Source organism: Homo sapiens, chromosome 2 (assembly GCF_000001405.40).
Source record: "Homo sapiens chromosome 2, GRCh38.p14 Primary Assembly".
NCBI classification, from domain to species: domain Eukaryota; kingdom Metazoa; phylum Chordata; class Mammalia; order Primates; family Hominidae; genus Homo; species Homo sapiens.
In genome coordinates this window covers 208454544-208475434 of record NC_000002.12, presented here as the reverse complement: position 1 = coordinate 208475434, position 20891 = coordinate 208454544, and the positions used below count along the sequence as shown (strand labels likewise).

Genomic DNA, 20891 nt, shown 5'->3' with positions numbered 1-20891 from the left:
TTATGGTGTGTTTGTTTTTTTAATGCCAGTTAAGGGTTGCTTTAAACACTGAGTTTAGGATTTTCTCTTTTATTACTCCTATTCTGTAAGCATAGCTTAGATGTATGTACTATAAGAAAGGTGACCCTGGAAGAAATTTCTATTATTCAAATATAAAAGATATGTCATTAAATTAGTTATACATTTACATTTTATGACAATATTTACCTTTTCTTGGTTCTTTAAAAAAAAGTTCTCCTTGTTGCATTTTCACATTTTAATTCAGCTAAGATGAATCAACTCATTATAAAGGAAAATATTTTGAGACTTTACAGCATCTCCAAAGAAATGGATTTAAATGAATGGAATATGTGGGACTAACTCTCATCAAATAGCAAAAACCATGGATTGCCATCACGCTTGCTGCCCAAGCTCACCAGCTGCTGCAGCACTGATCTCCTTCCATTACTCACATCAGCAGCTGACAGTTATTTACAGTTGTTACCATTTTAATAAAACTCTTTAATTCCTGTCTCTTTCTTAGAAGGTTGCATCAAGAGTACAGTCTCTCATACAGATGTCAGAATCAATCAAACAGGACTATGCACTTAAAGGTGAATAGTACCTCTCTTAGACATTTGCGTCTCCAAGCTAGTTCATCTTCTCCATCCATCATAACACCTCTAGAGTTTTCTTTTTAAAACCCAAATCTGACCCACTTACTAACCTGCTTAAAATATTTTGATGTCTCATCACAATTTTAAGGAAAATTCCAATGTGCTTTAGCATGACATGTGAGTCCACTCCCATCAAACTCCACAGTCTGATCTCCTGCATATTCTGCAGATGCATTGTTCCTTCCAGCCATAGAAAACATAACATGCCCACTTGGCATGGGCTAATCTCTATGCCGGGAAAACCCTTCTCTGCGCTTTACCTATTAAGTGATTTAGGTAAGTGATTTCTAGTCTTCCTTTATAATTTTAGTTCAAATCTCACCTTCTTGGTGTTTCCTTTATTAAGCCCTCCAGACAGAGTTTGGTGTTGTCTCTTCCCTATTCTGAACTTCATGATGGCGTCAGAAAGACTTGGATAAGCTTATATCACTACTACATGAACCACCATTTCTGTTACTACACCTCTACTATTACCACGCTACCACTAGTAGTAGTATTACTGCCGTATTATAGGCTACTATTTACTGAATGCTTTTCATAGGTTATATTAAGCCCTTTAATAATCTTACATAGTCCTCCTAATAACCCTATGAAGTAGATATTACAATATCCAATTTCCTTTTTAGAAAACTTCATTTTAAAAGGGGCTAAATCATAGTACAGTCAGCAACTGGTTAAGAGTTCACACAGGATTCATACACTTGTTCACACAACTACCAACCCTATAATAAAAACTATTATGAGTTGCACCTCCTCTGCTAATGACCTGTATGACCTTGGATATGAGTTTGACTGCTTGTAGACTAGTAAAGTTAGTAAGACTCAACAAAATCTAAGATACCCCCAGCTCCAAAACCCTATAATTCTAAGTCACATACTTCTCTGTGTGCCGGTATTGTCAGTTATAAAATTGAAACAATAATATGGATATATTTATGCCAGTTAACTATGAAGAAAACTATATTTTAAATGATTGTAAGGTACCTACATGTGGCATGCTTATCATATAATCTTATGATCCACTATAAGTAATATCATTAAATATATATTTATATTTTCATTCAGCCAATATTTCCTAGGCACCAATAAAGGTCAGGCATTCTAGGAAAATAAAAGAATAGATCATCCCTCCCCATGAGGAGCACACAGGGAAGACAGAGCTAGTAAGTAAAATGCAATACGGTACACTTCTAAAGTGTCTGATCACATGAAACACAACTAGCCTCCCACAACCATGTGAACACCCACTGCTTACACTGGCCAGGACTTTTGTGTAATTTCAGGTTTCATTGTTAAAGGAATTTGTCCAGTCCAGTGTTCTCCAAATAAGTCATTTAGGGTGCCATCATCATGATTTTGCCATATTGATATTATTTACCTACTATTGCCTACTTCATATCTTTCTTCAATCAACTTTCATTAAATTATTAAAATTCATATTTCATACCATTAAACATAAATAAAGAACCAGTAGAAGCTTTTATAAATAAAAGACAACTGTGAAATACATATGATGGAAACAAAAAGCCTTATGAAATGTTATCTAGATTGGGTTGCCTGTCTTACCTCCCCCTACCCCCAAAGAAAGACACCACACATGTGAGTGTTGTTCAAGACCAGGACCAAAATAAAACTTTCTCCTTGATGTGTTCAGAAGGGTTGGAAATGGACCAATATTCATATATGATTCAATAATGCTTAATGACCTTGCATATACCACCTAAGTCCTCTCATGCACCAGGGTATGTGCCCCTACATAAGGAAACACTGCTCTAGCTTAAATCCTATGGCAAGAAAGAGCAAAAACTGTGGGCTCTGGCATGGCATTACCTGGGTTTGACCTTGGCTTCAGCATTTTCTAAATGTATAACCTCAGGCAAGTTACATAACCTTTCTTGAACCCAAACTGGGAATAATAAAAATACCTACTTAAAAGTTATTTGAGGATTAATGCAAAAAAAGACTCTGAAATATGCTTGAAACAAAAACAGACTCAAACATTTATTCATCAGATGATTAATAAAATATAGGAGATTAACTTTGTTAAGAGACAAAGGAAGACTGTATTAGTCCATTTACATGCTGCTGATAAAGACATACCTGAGACTGAAAACAAAAAAAAGGTTTAATGGACTTACAGTTCCATGTGGCTAGGGATGCCTCACAATCATAACAGAAGGTAAAAGGCACATCTCACGTGGTGGAAGACAAGAGAAGAGAGCTTGTGCAGGGAAACTTCCCCTTATATAATCATCAGATCTCATGAGACTTATTCACTATCATGAGAATGGCACAGGAAAGTGACCCCATGATTCAGTTACCTCCCACTGGGTCCCTCCCACAACATGTGGGAATTCAAGATGAGATTTGGAGGTGAGGAACTTGTTGCGAACTGGAGCAAAGGTGACTTGTTATCTATTATCAAAGAGACTGGTGGCATTTTGTCCCTGCCCTAGAGACTTTTGGAACTTTGAACTGGAGGGAAATGATTTAGGTATCATTCCACCCCTGGACTCTCCCAAATCTCATGTCCTCACATTTCAAAAGCAATCACACCTTCCCAACAGGCCCCCAAAGCCTTAACTCATTTCAGCAACAGCTCAAAGTCCACATTCCAAAGCCTTATCCAAGACAAGGCAAGTCCCTTCTGCCTATGAGTCTGTAAAATCAAAATCAAGTTAGTTACTTCCTAGATAAAATGGGGGTACAGGCATTGGGTAAATACAGCCATTCCAAATGGGATAAATTGGCCAAAACAAAGGGGCTACAGGGCCCATGCAAGTCTGAAATCTACTGAAGTAATCAAATTTTAAAGCTCCAAAATGACATCCTTTGACTCCATGTCTCACATCCAGGTCATGCTGATGAAAGAGGAAAGCTCCAATGGCCTTGGGCAGCTCTGCCCTTTTGGCTTTGCAGGGTATAGCCCCCCTCCTGCTTCTTTCACAAGCTGGCATTGAGTGTCTGCAGCTTTTCCAGGCACATGGTGCAAGTTGTTGGTGGAGCTACCATTCTGGGGTCTGGAGGACAGTGGCCCTCTTCTCACAGCTCCACTAGGCAGTGCCCCATTAGGGACTCTGTGTGGCAGCTCCAACCCCCATTTCCCTTCTGCACTGCCCTGGCAGAGGTTCTCCATGAGGGCCTTGCCCTTGCAGCAAACTTCTGCCTGGACATCCAAGCATTTCCATACATTTTCTGAAATTTAGGCAGAGGTTTCCAAACCTCAATTTTTGACTTCTGTATACTTACAGGCTCAACACCACATGGAAGCTGCCAAGGCTTGGGGCTTGCACCCTCTGAAGCCATGGCCCAAGCTCTACATTGGCCCCTTTCAGCCATGGCTGGAGCAGCTGGGACACAAGGCACCAAGTCCCTAGGCTGCACACAGCACAGGGACCTTGGGCCTAGCCCACAAAACCACTTTTTCCTCCTAAACCTCCAGGCCTGTGATGGAAGGGGTTGCTGTGAAGACCTCTGATATGCCCTGGAGACATTTTCTCCATTGTCTTGGGGATTAACATTTGACTCCTTGTTACTAATACAAATTTCTGCAACCAGCTTCAATTTCTCCTCAGAAAATGGGATTCTCTTTTTTATTGCATTGTCAGGCTGCAAATTTTCCAAACTTTTATGCTCTGTTTCCCTTTTAAAACTAAATGCCTTTAACAGCACCCAAGTCACCTCTTGAATGCTTTGCTGCTTAGAAATTTCTTCTGCCAGATACCTAAATCATTTCCCTCCAATTCAAAGTTCCAAAAATCTCTAGGGCAGGAACAAAATGCCACCAGTCTCTTTGATAAAAGATAACAAGAGTCACCTTTGCTCCAGTTCCCAAAAAGTTCCTCACCTCTATCCGAGACCACCTTAGCCTGGATTTCATTGTCCACACCATTATCAGCATTTTGGTCAAAGCCATTCAACAAGTTTCTAGGGAGTTCCAAACTTGCCCACATTTTCCTGTCTGTGAACCCTTTGAACTGTTCCAACCTCTGCCTGTTACCCAGTTCCAAAGTCACTTAAACATTTTCAGGTATCTTCTCAGCAGTGCCCCACTCTACTGATACCAATTTACTTTATTAGTCTGTTTTCATGCTGCTGATAAAGGCATACCTGAGAATAGGAAGAAAAAAAAGGTTTAATGGACTTACAGTTCCATGCGGCTGGGGATGCCTCAAATCATGACAGAAGATGAAAGGGCACTTCTCACATGGCGGCAGATAAGAGAAGAGAGCTTGTGCAGGGAAACTCCCCCTTATATAATCATCAGATCTCATAACAAATTCACTATCACGAGAACAGCACAAGAAAGACCTGCCCCTATGATTCAATTACCTCCCACAGATCTCTCCCACAACATGTGGAAATTCAAGATGAGATCTGGATGGGGACACAGCCAAACCATATCAAAACATTTTGGTAAAGATAAAATTTGAGCAGGGCCTAGAAAGACAGTTTGATCACCTATCACTGGATGCTGGATGAAAGGATGGGTGAATGGGGAGAGTAACACAGCATGAAGGAAATATTTACATAAAGACAAATACCACAGTTCCTCCTTTTCTTTTCCCTAACCGGTAAATTCAAGATCTCAGGTTTCTGCTAGTACCATATAACTCTCCACACCATAATACTGGCATTCTCAAGGCCCTTTCATAAGTACCCAAGAGTAAGTCTGCTCAATTTCCCAATCTGTATTTTTGTGTCTCTGGTTTTATTTTGTTTCAGCTGTTATAGTGCCTCTTGGTTGACATCAGTGCAAATGCAGGTGCTTATGTCTCAGTCAGTGCCCCAGCTTGGTCAAAATGTATTGACTCAACCAATCTCACCTTTCCCACTTCTTTCAGGCCAGCTGTCCTGCCTGCAGCATCTCCTGCTCTTCAGGCTGAGCATCCCTATGCCTTCTCATGATGCTCCAGGAGGCCCAGAACCAAAACAAAGCATCACGTTCTTTTGTTAATTAGGAAATATTTCTCTTATATTTTGATCTTACAGGGAAGAATTAAAAAATCATCCTCAAATCAACATCAAGATGACACAGGTGTCTGATAAATGATTACATTTGGGGACATTTATTTTCAGAACAAAATTTAGTATTTTCCAATGACTCTAGTTCTCTTAAACATAATTTTAACACACTTTAACAAAACAGAAAACAACAATGCTATAATTATAGACCCTACAATTCCAAAATTAAGTGATTCCTTCCAAACTTATACTGCAGTCTATGGTTATCTCTAAAAATCAGTTATCTTGACATGACTTCTCCTGACTGCTCATACTTAACAAATTCCTTTACTCTCTTAAATTTAGTTTACCTCATATATTGCTTAGAAATTCTGACCATAATTTATCTAATTTTACTCCTAGATATACAAACATCAAATTAATAGAATCTACAGTATTATAATAGCCAAAGACAGAATTAAGTAAGGGATCTAATTTGGATTTCAAATTCTGGGCAAATAGTTTCTTTGTTAGCATATATGATGCATATATTTACTTAAAACCATGCCACATGTAATGCATGACTAAAAAACAACTTTATATCCTAAAATTAACCTATTTTTAAAACTATGCACATAGCTATATAAATGGAAAGATTTTTCCCATAAATTCAAGACACAGTTTGACAGGTTTTAGAAAGCAAGTGAAAAGAACATGGCCACAAAACACATGTTAAAGTCTGTTTCATCATACTAGTCGTGTGACCTATATCTGCGTGAGCTGTAGTTTTCTCCTCTAGAAATTGAAAAGATTGCATAAAATGAACTCACAAGTTCTTTAATTTTACTTGCTTTGTGCTCTTACTTTGCCTCTTTCCTCTTCCCAGTTCCCCATGATATCTATTTTATATGCATGTTTTGTTTTTCCAACAAGTATTTATTGAGTGGTCATTCTGTGCCAGGAAACTAGCTAAGCTCTAGGTATCATAAGTTTAGAAAAAAAATGGTTCTTGTTTACATAAACCTTGCAGTTCGGTGAAAAAGATGGACATTCAACAATGAAAGACATGATATACTGTGATGTTGAAAAGAAAAAGCCTTTCTGTGCCCTGTAGATTACAATTGGTAATCTAATTTAGATTGGACGGCATCAAGGTCACAAAGAAAAAGTAGTATTTCAAATGAGGCACAGAAGGAAGCACATTCCAACCTTCTAAAAGTACAGTGGGGCATGTAGAACAGCCCTGAGAAAAACACAGGCAGACAAGGTCAAGCAACTGACTGGAAAGCAACATAGCCAGGGTGTGGCATGTAAAGAGGCACAAGCATCAGTGAGCCATCTTTGCTGGATTATCAGAGATGTTAGATTTTATTATAAGTGCATGGAGTTCATTGGGTAGGGACATTGATGCTGAAGTCAGAACCCGGCTCCATCACTTAATATTGGGTATTCTTGGGCAGTTTCCTTATTTAGAGTTATTGGTCGGATTAGATACATTGATGTACATAAAACACTTAAAACACTGCTCAGTATATTGTAAGAACTATGTCGTGTTTGTTGTTGTTATTATTATCTTCATCCTTCCTGGCTTCACCACACAGAACAACTCAGAAGAAGGAGCACCACCCTCTGCACACATGGTGGTTAAGTTCTGGGCTTATTTCTCCCTTTACAGACAGGTTCTAAAGTAATATGAGGTATGTAGGCTTCATGGTCCCTAATAATGTGGCCTGAAATCCCAGGAGGAAAATATATAGGAGAGTTTTGCTGGAAATCACTGCAAGACCATTTCATTATCAGATTAGCCTAGAGATGTCAGCTGCTGCATAGGAGACGGTGTGAGGCCAAATACAAATTTAAAAATAAGAGTCTTCATTCTCCCTGTTGAAAATGGGGGAAGAGATTTCACTTTCCTCCTTTTTCTTAGAGCATTTACCTTAGAAAACTTGTATGTACTTTCTCATCTCTTTGAAATGTTTATAAATCCTTTTGAAGATTAGATAGGCCTTTGGTCAGCTTTATGGCCCAGGAATGTCTTTCGCAAGGACCTAGGAACCATCTTTTTGAAATGCTAACATCAAGAGAGATAGCATCCCTGTCTCTCAGTTTTTGTAGGATAGAAGCTTAACTTCTGTAGGCACCTATCTTGAAGTTGCAAAACTTCCTCCTGACATAAAGAAATGACAAGCTTGTTTTTCCTCCAATAAAGCTACTTAGCCACAACAGGTGGTCACCCCAATTACCAGGTAAAGTTAGGATGAATCATGTGTAGCATATAGTATTGTCAAGTCCCTTTTACTTGAGAACTAGTTATTGTGTCTCTTGAAAACGTGTATATAATGAGTTGTAACTGCTTGGCTATAAAAAGGAGTGAGATTTCTTTCTCTTTGCAATCTCTTAGCAGATTGCGTGTAGTGCACACCACATTCTGGTTGAGTAACTTAATACTAAAAGTGTTTTTCTTCTGTATTACCTTTGTGGAGAAGATTTTTAGGTTAGGAGAAGATTTTTGTATTAAATTATATTTCCCCAATAGTAGAAAGCTAGGGGGAAAAAAAAGAAAAGAAAAGAAAACTTGCTCCCACCATTTGTTTGCTATTATAACAAACAAATGCTGGATAATCTGACAAAAATTTTTTTAACTTTTTAAAATGCATCAGAGAACAAAGTTACAGGATGACCAATTAACCCGAAATTTAAGGAAAGTCTGACATCTCCAAGGAGGATGGAATGTAAGCACTTTCTTCCCTGGGACAGATGCCAAAAGCTAGCTGATAAGAAGAATTTGGCTGAAATGTTGAACAAATTGTACAAACAATGAACTATCCAAAAAAAATAAGAACAAAATCAATTTACAATAACAACAAAAAGAATAAAATACTTAGAAATAGGTACCAAAAGCACAGGCAAGAAAAACAAAAATTAACAAGCAGGATTGCATTAAACTAAAATGCCTCTGCACAGCAAAGGAAACAATCAATAGAGTGAAAAGGCAACCTGTGAAATGGTAGAAAATATTTGCAATATTTATGTATTTAATGTATTCAATAAAAATTAATGTATTCAATGAGGGGCTAATATCCAAATTATATAAGGAACTCAGACAACTGAATACCAAGAAACAACCCAATTTAAAAATGGGCAAAGGAGCTGAATAGACGTTTCTCAAAAGAAGACATACAGCTCTAGCTCACCAAGCCCAAGTGGAATGAGTTAGGAGGTCTCTATGCCATGCAGATTGCCCTCAAAGCAACCTGCAAAAAAACTACAAAGGCCAGTGTGCCATCTACTGGAGGGGTGAAGAAACTTCACCGTTAACAGGCTGGATACCAAGGCGCTTGGTGAAATTAGATGTTATCAGAAGTCCACTGAATGCCTAATCCATAAACTTTTCTCCTAGCATCTGGTGCAAGAAACTGCTAAGGACTTCAAAACAGATCAACACATCCAGAGCACAGCTGCTGGTGCTTTGCAGGAGAAAAGTGACGTCTATCAGGTTGGCCTCTCTGGAGACACCGAGCTGTGTGCAATCCAGGCCAAATGTGTAACAATTATGCCAAAAGACATCCATGCTGCATTCATGGAGAACTTGCTTGACAATCCACTATGATGGGAAACATTTCATTCTCAAAGAAAAAAAAATGAAAAGCTCTTCTTCCTTTTATTGGTATTTCTGAGCGTTAGATTCCCCCTGCCGCTGCCCCCATGGAGTCAAAAGGCACCTAAGTAAATGACTGTGAGTGAAAAAATAGGGAATAGAAATCACGTATTGGCAGTTTTTCCATTTTTGTTTTTGTGTGAATTTGTAATATAAATGCATGGAAACAAAGTATTAATGCACACCAAATGTTTCAGCTGAACAAGTTTCAGCAGTTCACCTTTATAGCAGTTATAAATAGACCTGTTAAATTTTTCTGAACAATGCCAGCATTTGGATTTTTAAAAAAAAAAAATTTCTTGACAGCAACTAACTGGTGTTTGTAGCACTTTTATCATACAGTAAATTCCATCCACTCACTATACTTTTCTCAGAAATCCTACATGCAAGTACATGTTTTTAATGTTGTTTTTGCACTGTTCCTGTCAGTTTGCTACCAAAATGCATTAAAATATTTTTTTAAAAAAAAAGGAGTTGGCCCTGCGGTGGCTCATGCCTATAATTCCAGCACTTTGGGAGGCCGAGGCGGGCGGATCACTGAGGTCGGGAGTTTGAGTCCAGCCTGGCCAACGTGGCGAAATCCCATCTCTACTAAAAATAAAAAAAATTAGCTGGGCATGGTGGCACGTGCCTGTAATATCAGCTACTCGGGAGTCTGAGACAGGAGAATCGCTTGAACCCAGGAGGCAGAGGTTGCAGTGAGCTGAGATCGCACCACTGCACTCCAGCCTGGGTGACAGAGTGAGACTCCATCACAAAAAAAAAAAAAAAAAAAAAAAAAAAAAAAAGACTTACAAATAGCCAACAAGTATGTGAAAAGTGATCATCATCACTAATTATCAGGGAAATCCAAATCAAAACCACAAGCTAACACCTCATACCTGTTAGAATGGCTTCATATGGCTGGGCATGGTGGCTCCCACCTGTAATACCAGCACTATGGGAGGCAGAGGCGAGTGGATTGCTTGAGCCCAGGAGTTTGAGACCAGCCTGGACAACATGGCAAAATCACATCTCTACAAAAAATACAAAAATTAGCCGGGCATGGTGGCACATGCCTATAGTCCTAGTTACTCAGGAGGCTGAGGCAGGAGGATCACTTGAGCCCAGGAGATCAAGGCTACAGTGAGCCATGATTGCACCACTGCACTCCAGCCTGGGTGACAGAGTGAGATCCTGTCTCAAAAAAACAAACAAACAAAGAATGGCTTAATGGCCGTTGGTAGTTCAAAAAGACAAAAGATAAATGTTAGCTAGGATGTGGAGAGAAAAAAAAATGTGTACCCTGTTAGTATGAGTGTGAGTAGGCACAGTCATTATGGGAAAAAGAATAAGGGGTTTTGTTTTGTTGCCCAGGCTGGTCTTGAACCCCTGGCCTCAAGCGAGCCTCCTGCCTATGTCTACCAAAGCACTGGGATTACAGGCATGAGCCACCATGCCCAGTCTATTCCCATTTTATAGATGGCAAAAGTGGACCCTGACTTTTTAAAACTTGCCCAAGCCTAGCCTGCCCAGTAAAATTTCAGCCTGCACATTCAACAGAAGGGCAGGCCTGGGATGCTAACAAAGACAGCCTGGCCCAAAATCTATGCTGTAACTACTGCGACACATTTGGCATCATTCCCAAGAAAGGGCAGACCTCCTTGGTCCTTCATACTGTGTCCATGTGCATCTCAAATGGGCTGGACAGACAAATCATGTACTGGTGTGGCAGAGCTTTCCCTGTCTTTACATCTTCACGCAGACCTGGAGAGAAGAGACCTCGGGCGCCCGTCAGGTTCACCACAGGGGTGCTAACTTACTGTCTGCCTGGTTTGCCAGCAAGTCACGGGGAAGATCATAGAATGTACTTAGGAAGACGTTTCTTTTTAATCAAATATTTATTGCATTTAATAACAGGACCTCACATAGGAAGAAAAAGTGAAAATAACATTATGTTATACTTTTCTCACCTCGTGTTTTATTGTGTTTGAATAGAAGGTGAATCATGGAATGGTTTACCTGGAAAATTACAAAAGTGAGAGCTTAATAACTTTTTCAAAATGTAAATATCGATTTCTCGATTATGAAGTAAAGCCTTCTGATACACCTAAAATGGAGAATACTAAAATGTTTAACAAAAGGGTAAAAATAAGCTCTACTCCTACCAACAAGAGTTAATAATTATACCATTTTGGGTAGATAACGTTATAGCCTTTTAAAAAATAGTCACACCAATGGTATGCCAGGTTTTATGGGATACAAGGAGAGTGGACATTCTGTAATCAGAAGTGCCTATGCACAAACAGAGAAGCAATCATGGTGTCATCCTAGGGGATCGTGGAGTCTGGGAAGCCAGATCATCCCTGGGAGTCCCCTCAGGTCTGAACAGCCACTTCCTGATATACAAGGTAGAATGTGTTAGCTTTATTGCTGTCCAGAAACCAACATTATTTTTATGACTTTATGGAGACATTTTTTAAGTTAATGTGTTGCAGGGAGTAGGAGAAATCTACCTGGAGTGTGGGCAAGTTATTAACACGTGAAAAGTAAAAATGATAATAGCTAATGCTTACAGCGCTGTGTGGCAGCCACTGTTCCTAATGCAGCCCAGTGATTAACTCTCGTAATCTACACTATTATTCCCATCTTTTAGATGGCAAAAGGGGATTGTGAGTTTAAATAACTTGCCCAAGGCCAGCCTGTACCATAAAATTTCAGCCTGCACGCTCAACAACAGGGCAGACCTGGGATGCTAACGAAGGCAGTCTCGCCCAGAGCCTATGCTGTAACCACTGTGACACTGTCAAGTGGTCAGAAAAGGGATGTCTGAAGAGGTTGTCCGTAAGCTGGGACCTGAAGGAAGAATGGACAAGCAGGGGGAACAGTATGGCAGGCATACAGAACAGCACAGGCAAAGGCCCTGAGGTGGGAACAGTGTAGCATGTTCAGGAAACTAAAGAAAGCCATTGTGTGGAGCTGAGGCAGCAGGAGGGAGAAGATGAGATGACATGAGATGGGGGAGGAAGAAGGGACCAGGTCATGGAAATGAGGAAAATGTGTATGCCAAGTGTGAAGGGACAGTGCTCAGAATTCCAAGCCCTAACTCTCTCAGCCCCATGTCCTTTCCACTTCATATCACTGTGGCTTAAACCCCCACCCAGCAGACACCCACAGTGGTTACCCACTGCCAGCTTCAACGAAGCCCTGAGATCTTTCCAAATGAAAAACCTGATTCCTTCACTTTCCAATGTCTAAACCTTTGGTTGTCATCCCTTGCAAGATTAGGTGTCAATTCTTTAGTGAGGCTTAGAAGCCCCTTCAGGGTCTGGCCCGGCCTCCTTTGCAGCCTCAGCTCTTGACATTATTCCACACCCACGCTCAACCTTGGCACAGACCATTGGAATGCTCTCGTACCACTTGCCAACCTGTGATGAATAAATTTCCCCCATTAATCACTACCACCTTTGCTCATGATTTTGTGTTTATTATTTACTTCCAATGCAGATATTAAATTAGTTTTTTTCCTGAATGTTAATCATGCTTACAGAGCTCTGGTCTTTGGCATTCTAAGTGAAATAATCACTGTCCTTGGAATCCAGGTTTTAAAACATATCAACTTGGGTTCACTGTGTATAATCCAAGCTCCTGGATTTCCAGGATTTCTGTGTGTGCTTCAAGTTGATCCTCTGAACCGGTGCCACTGGCAATCTAACTACCTGGTGTTACACATCACACAATTATCCACACAGGCCTTCCACATTCTTATTCCCAGGAGGGCCAAATCTCTCTCCTAGGAGCTCTATATTCTTGAGGTGTATCTTCTTGTCTCTTGAGATATTCCCCTCTTCTGAATTGAAAACTATACCTTGGAGCTTTTCATTATAATTCTATTTTTTCTTTCCTTTAGTTTTCCACTTGCTTTTTTAGTTTTTCTCCTTCTTAACTCAGCCTTCTCTAAATTATTGATTAAAATAAGTAAATTATTTATTTCAAATCCAATTCTTGACATTTTATGAAAACTTTCAGATACACTAGTAGATTGTGAGTAAGTTAAGAGCCTTCAAGGGAATTGTGATAACACTAAATTATAATAATGAAACAAAAAGGTAACTCTTAGTGAACAGAAAGATATTCTTGAGTCTCAGCTGTGATTTTTGAGATTAAATCAACTTCATAATATAGGAAAAGTACTTCAGAATTCTTAGCTTAGAACTGTCATAATTTTAGCTCAAGAAGATGAAAATGGCCTTCTACATTAATTTTCTTCAAAGTTTATTGAGTGTGCCATCACTTCTATTTCTCCTTCGCCAACAGCGAATCTTCAAAAGCCCTTTAATCACCTAGCTTTACTGTTTCACATTACAAGTTACAAATCTCAGAAAATAAATTTTTCATCCATGGTGATGATGTGAGTGACTTAGATCTGTAAACAAACTATAAAGCTTTGGATAAAAATCAGTCATTTCCATGGAAAATGCCCTAGGATTTCCTTTTCTCCACTGTCCTTTGCTTCAATTCCTGATAATTTTACAAGGATCTCTTGCATTTCAATAGGTCCTTCCTTTTCATCAAATGTAAAATCATATTTAATCATTATATAATCATTATATTAAAATGTGGGTAAAATTAAGAGCATTAATTAACTCTTATTGGTCAGTTTCAGTACAAGACACTGAAGGCAAAGAAAAAGTAACAAGATAAAGATTGTTCCCTTAAAAAGATAATAGTAAGATATGGAGAAGCAAACACACAGAGGAGGAACTAGAAAGGAGGAAAATAAAAGGCTTAAAAGTATAAATAAGGATTAAATACCAATGAGTGAAAGGGAAATCTGAGCAGTTAATTTTTATCTTTAAGTTCACTGATGTCTCTCAGGGATATAGTTACAGATCTAGGATTTTTTTCACTAAATTAATGTAGCAGCATTTGATTTACATTAAAAATTAAAATTACAGGTGTTTATACATTTAAGCCATGCATTCATCCATAATCGATTTTTGAGCTTCTCCTAGGATATATGGAATTGGGACCAATTTGTTAATAGGATGGTTTAGCAAGGATACAAAATAGCTTCTCTAAACGTGTTCTGTATTTTATTTCCGTCTCTAAACATTTATTTCAATGGGCTTCTAAACTGAAGATTCCTTTTGATCTCTCCTATTTTCTTTATGCATTTTTCCTATGAGGTAAATAAGCTTTTATCTGATTCTTTGGATGAGGTTACAATACCTCAACTACATTAATAGCTGCCCTTCTGACAAAGTAGGTGACACATTGTCCAAAAGAAAACAAGAAGAATATGAAACTGGGAAACAAAGAAAAACATCAAAATTAGTTAATAATCAAGTTGCTACATTGTTTTCTAATTTAACATTTATTATCAAGATAGTAATTATTTTTTTAAAATGCTTGTAATATGTATTACATACATGAACACCAGGAAAACACAAGGTGGTGTAATTTCTTCAACAACCCAAAAGAAGCTGATGCCTTAAAGTCTTCAAAGAAGATCAAGAGTAAACATTTTGATAAGTTTTATTAGATACAAAGAAGTGTGTGGTTTTGTTTTCCTTTGCAACACAGATGCAATGTGCATTGGAAATATTATAGGCAGATAAGGTCCAGTGCAACATGCATTGTGGTCTTTCTCCCTATTATTAGGTTAGTGAAAAAGTAATTGTGTTTTTTGCCATTACTTTCAATTCTATCTAATACCTATTAGATAGAATTATGTGGGATACTTCTTGGTATAAGATGTACTTAACTCCTTGGGGAAAGTATGCCAAATAAAAGATTTAGGGAATACTTTATACATCATATTACCATTCTTCTCTCTCAGTAATTTCTCTGTTTTCCTGCTATTCCACCTTTTCCTCCCTGTCACACTGACCTACTACCAGGTGATCAGAATGTTAAAGTGGTAAAATAATATCGTGGATGAAAAGGAGACATAGGGCCTTCCAACTCCCTAAACATATAAATGCTCATAGATATTTTGAAGTCTCGGAATTGACCCCAAGTGCTAGCTGATTAAAGGAAGGCTTTCTGCATGGATCTCAGTGTCAGTCACAATAAGGGTCTGATCTCTGTCCCAGACTCTCCCAATAGATGTTGCTGTACTTGTCAGTTTCTCAGATCTGTTGTAGAATGCAGTGACAGACACACTTTCTCTGGGTTTTAGCAGCAGGTTAATTTTTCATCCCTTTTTTAACTATACAAACTTTTAAACTTACCCCAATAGCTGCTAAGATCGGTGCTTGATAAATCCACTTGATGTCTCCAGCACTAAGTTCCCAGCACCTGAGACATTGAAAAAAAGCTGTCATGAATAAATTGGCAAAGCAAATGGGTAGTATTAAGTAGAATTTTAAGTTTTACCAAAAACTCCAACCCCACACTTCCAATTAAGAAACAAATAGACAAAGAAATCTTATCTTAAAACACCCAAGCCAGTGGGGGGAAAAAGTGTAACGGGTATTGATTTTCATATTATTAGCTACCCCTTGAAGATGAGTAGAGAATTATAAATATTAGTGAATTACTTTTATTGTGACGAGAGTCAACCATGTTTCCAGAGCCACAAAAGGTAATAGTCTTCTAAATGTCATACAACTGATACTTCACTTTTACTATTATTGGAATGAGCCATGATAATTTAAATTCACTGATAAAGAAAGTTCTCTCTCACAGACATTACAGCAATTCTATTTTACTTCAAAAATTGTAGAATCCTTACAATAATGCAAGTTATTCTTATTCATAGAAATGCAATAGAAAATGAACGCAAACTATTCCTGTCCATAGAAATGAAAATTAGCTATGATGTTCAGTGGAATGTAATTGATTAGTATCCTGTAAATATTGAGTAGTTTTTGCATTTATTTGTAAATTTTTGGTATTTATTGTACTGAATGTAAATGTGGTTCTTTAGATTTCTCCTTGGAACCAATCATAACACCTTAGTAGTTCCCTCATTAACTAATGAGGTTAAAATATCTAGAGAAATGCAAATCAAAACCACAATGAGATATCATCTCACACCAGTTAGAATGGCTACTACTAAAAAGTCAAGAAATAACAGATGCTGGTGAGGTTAGAGAGAAAAGGGAACCCTTATATGCTGTTGGTGGGAGTGTAAATTAGTTCAACCACTGTGGAAAGCAGTATGGCGATTCCTCAAAGAGCTAAAAGAAGAACTACCATTCAACCCAGCAATCCCATTACTGGGCATATTCCCAGAGGAATATAAAGCATTCTACCGTAAAGACACACGTATGCAAATATTCATCGCAGCACTGTTCACAATAGCAAAGAAAGACATGGAATCAATCTCAATCCCCATCAATGACAGACAGAATAAAGAAAACGTGGTACATGTATACCATGGAATATTATGCAACCACAAAAAAAACACAAGATCATGTCTTTTGCAGGAACATGGATGGAGCTGGAGGCTATCATCCTTAGCAAACTAACACAGGAACAGAAAACCAAATACCACGTGTTCTCACTTATAAGTGGAAGCTAAATGATAAGAATTTGTGAAGACAAAGAAGGAAACAACAGACACTGGGGTGTACTTGAGGGGGGAAGGTAGGAGGAGGGAGAGGAGCAGAAAAGATAACTATTGGGTACTGGGCTTAATACTTGGGTGATGTAATATTATGTACAACAAACCTCTGTGACACATGTTTATCTACGGAACAAACTTTCACATGTACCCCCAAACCTAAAATAAAAATTTTTTTAAAAATCTTTGACAGCTGTCCATTTTCTATTTGTATAAGATCCACGACCTTATCCTAATTTTAAAAAGTTTGTTTTTAACAGTACTTAATTTAAAAATTATATAATTTGCCTATTTTTTATATTTGGTGCTTCCCTTCCACCCTAACTTGAGTTTAAGTTCTACATGGGCAGAGATCACTGTTGTTTTTGTGTTCTGATGTATTGCAAGTCCTAGAACAGTATGTAGGTAGTCAATAAATATCTATTGGATTGAACTGACATCAATTGAATTCAAATTAAGTTTTACTCATGCTCACCCAATCTGGTTTGTACTAGTAAAGATCTTACACTGGAATAAATAGCACAGAAATGATAAGAAACTAGTACGACTTGGCACTTTAATATAACACTTGAAACAAAAGACGCACAAATAAAAGTCTTAAGTTTCTTTCTCTTTTCACAAAACCCAGTATTGATTGTGGCAATGGCAAATAATATAAAGAAATTTGTGGGATATAATGATAGTTTTTTAATTCTAGATAATGAACTTATCACGAACTTACTTTTTATTAATGAGCAAGCTATAGATAATAAAATACCATTTTGACTTTTCCTTAAGGGTAAAACATTTTCAGTACACACTAAGAACTACATATTTTTAAGTTTAACTTTTACATAGAGGCAATATGTTCTCATTTTTAAAATCAAACTATATAAAAAGACAGCCATTGAGATGTCTCAGTCCTCCCCATGTTCCTGTCTGCCTCTGCCCCCATCCCTCTCCTTACAGATAACACCTTTTATTACCATATTGTGTATGCTTCCCATGTTTATGCATATGCAAACAAATACAAAGGTTATATTCTTACTTTCCTCTATCATACAAAAATGTCATGTATGCACTATTCTGCAATTTGCTTTTTCCTTTTAAAAGTGTATGTTTTATTTCTTTGCATATCTGTACCAATAGAGCTCAGCAGCTCCACATTCCAGTGGGAGAATATACCACAGCCAAATCAACCAGAACCTACACTAAAGTGTAATTCTGGTCCAGCCAAAATGAAATGCACATATTCAATTGTCTTGAAGTTTGAATAACATGGAAATTTAAGACACAAAAATCTTACACTTGCATATTATTGAACATTTTCTGGCATTGTTTACATGTATCTGTTTTTCACATTATTTAACCAGACAAGAAAGATAAAAGACAATGTTACTGAGTTATGCAGAATCACATTACCCTAAAAAAGCTTTCTACCATAAGGAAGGTGGCATATATCATGTGACTGTAAATTGAACATTGATTCACTTAGCCAAGATCTAAGCTACAAGGCTTTCGGATTCCCTAAATTTTCTTTTCAGTTTTTGACATTTGGTAATATCTTCACAGTCTTCTTTCTTTGCTTTAATGGCATTTCATCATGGTGTCTCCTAACACATTGGGATTCAATTATACAATTCAGGCTCTATAAAATGCTTGCATTTGGAAGTAGGTCAAAACCAGCTACCTCTAAAAACATGAAAAACTTGTCTTTGATGGTTTTCAGTGTCAAAGTTTCAAATTTCCCCTGTGATATAGGAAAGAAAATTGAGATTTCAAACTTTTTAAAGAAAATGTTATTAATGCTTGTTTTTAGTTAATTCTTCAATGTTCCCACTCACACTGTCTTTGTTAACATGTCCCAGAAATTACTCTCTGTTCAAATTTTTTTAATAAACTTTAACCTTCTAGGAAATGCAGTTCTGGATGGTGAAGCATGAGATACAAAGGTCTGACTAGAAAGTGGAACTTCCTACAGCCAGGGTTGAAAACAGGTGTGTTGTTCTGCCCAAGGGATCCAGAGAATTGAATTGGCTGAGCACTACCTTCTCTCCACAACTTACAATCAGTAAGAGTAGAAGAAGCGAAAGAAGCTGACCCCAAAAGCCTGTGCAGATGTTCTAGAAATGTCAGATGGCTTCTTGGTCCTTTGCAGCCCCCACCTTTGCTGCTGGATGGTGAAACAAAAATACAGCAAAGAAGTTATGGGTTTCTTCTCTCATTGGCATCTCTTATCTCCTTCGAATGAGGCAAAGAGAAGATAATCAGATTACCGTGTAAGGTGTTTTTGCTTTTGTAAGTAAAAAGAAAGAGAACAAAATTGCTCACTTTTTAATTTAATTTGCCCAACCTACTTGATTATCTTAGCTGACCTTAGTAAAATAACACTCTTTTTTTTTTTGAGACAGAGTCTCCCTCTGTTGCCCAGGCTGGAGTGCAGTGGCGTGATCTCGGCTCACTGTAGCCTCTGCTTCCCCAGTTCAGGCGATTCTCCTGCCTCAATCTCCCAAGTATTTGGAATTACAGGCACGCACCACCACGCCCAGCTAATTTTTTTTGCATTTTTAGTAGAGACGGAGTTTCACCATGTTGGCCATGCTGGTCTTGAACCCCTGGCCTCAAGGGATCAGCCTGCTTTGGCCTCCCAAAGCACTGGGATTACAGGCATGAGCCACCTTGCCCAGCCCAAATAACACCTAATAGAATTTTAAATCTGAAAGAGACTTCTTTTGTATATCAATAGAGTTTAAGGTATCTTTTAAAACTGGGTCTGACATGCTTATCTCCAAATAGCCAAGATGCAGAGAAAATCAGAGGTTTCACTTTGAAAGGCCAGATTAGAAAACATTGAGTCTCAAATATAAGACATGAATATGAACCCCATTCATCCTTTGAAGATATTTAAAATCTGTTCTCTCCCCAGAGTGTTGTCATATGGCGCTATATAGGTCAGATAACACCCAAGAAAACCCACAAAAACTTTATCTATAGAAAAGCTGAATTTTATGTGAAGTTGAATCAGGCAATTTTGAAATCATCTCAGAGAAGTGGCAACACAGTTTATGTTTACAGGCAAAATTAAATATAAAATGACCCTTCATCCAATTATCCCAGATCTGGGCACTGTAGAATTCAAGATTTTATTCTGATAAGTTAGGAAGAAAGTGGAATATTTTGCAAGGTGGTCACATGATATAACTAATTGAATGAATGAGTCAAAATTCTGCTTCAGTCTAGCGGTAAGCTTTGAGAATGTGTCCTGATGTCTCTGGATCACATTTTACTTATCTCTAATATGGGATGATTGAACCAGAAAATGCCTTAAGTCCTATCATCTCTAAAATTCTGAATCTAGGTCATACAGTTACACATCTCAGAATATGATCATGATAGCATTAATTAGTACCTCTTTACTGATGCAACTTCCCTCCCATGTAAATCAAGTAACAGGTATTGCAAGTTTTCTTTGAGATTTGCAATCTCACTGTGTGTATATAGCAATAATGATGTCAATTAGATAACATCAACCCTCAATTGTTAACAAATTCAAATAGCATAAAGGGATCAAAGTAAGGAAAAATGCAAAGCCAGCAAGTTTTAGAACTGAGGGAAGCTGATGAATGGGGAGCTTTGAAGCAAGTAGGAGGAAGGCTGCACCTAAAGACAATGACTCTGTACAGTTCTAATTTTCAGGAACAGTGAGTGACAGGTTCTTTATAGAGTTTAGGTATTCACAGTATGTGATTTTTTTTTCAGTGCATAGCAGACAAAATAATTCCTGAAGGAAATATCTAGTAACTCAAAACAATATATTGGCTTAAATAAAGTTCCCAGGAGATAACAAAAAGGGAACTGCTGTCACAAAGCGTACACAATCTGTGGATATTAAATTGTTCTCTATTAACATAAAAGAATGCTTGGCATTACTGCATATATAGGTTAAAGCTGCCTCTCTTTAAATTACCTTTTCTTTATCATAAGTGTGTTAATCTGCTTGACGTGTGATAGCAAAATACCACAGGCTGGGTGGCTTAAACAATAGACATTTATTTTCTCAGTCTGGAGACTAGAAGTTCAAGATCAGGGTGCCAGCATGGTC

At 37.9% G+C, this 20891-nt stretch overlaps 1 protein-coding gene and 1 pseudogene across 9 annotated transcripts in view; one reads left to right on the top strand and one right to left on the bottom strand.

Moving 5' to 3' along the window:
* Window positions 1–20891, bottom strand: part of PTH2R (parathyroid hormone 2 receptor) — a 134815-nt gene that overhangs the window by 19072 nt on the left and 94852 nt on the right. For 7 of the 9 annotated variants that reach the window (NR_163993.1, NR_163991.1, NM_001371905.1 and 4 more), the window contains one exon: window positions 15474–15540. Coding sequence is in view for 5 of the 9 variants with exons in the window: in NM_001371905.1 (NP_001358834.1) it covers window positions 15474–15540 (67 nt within the window). In the remaining 4 variants the exon portion in view is untranslated. Of the gene's footprint in view, window positions 1–5482; window positions 5567–11210; window positions 11260–15473; window positions 15541–20891 lie in introns of all 9 variants that reach the window. The other 2 variants (NR_163994.1, NR_163992.1) reach the window with 1 other exon arrangement.
* On the top strand, window positions 8809–9197 carry H3P9 (H3 histone pseudogene 9; annotated as a pseudogene).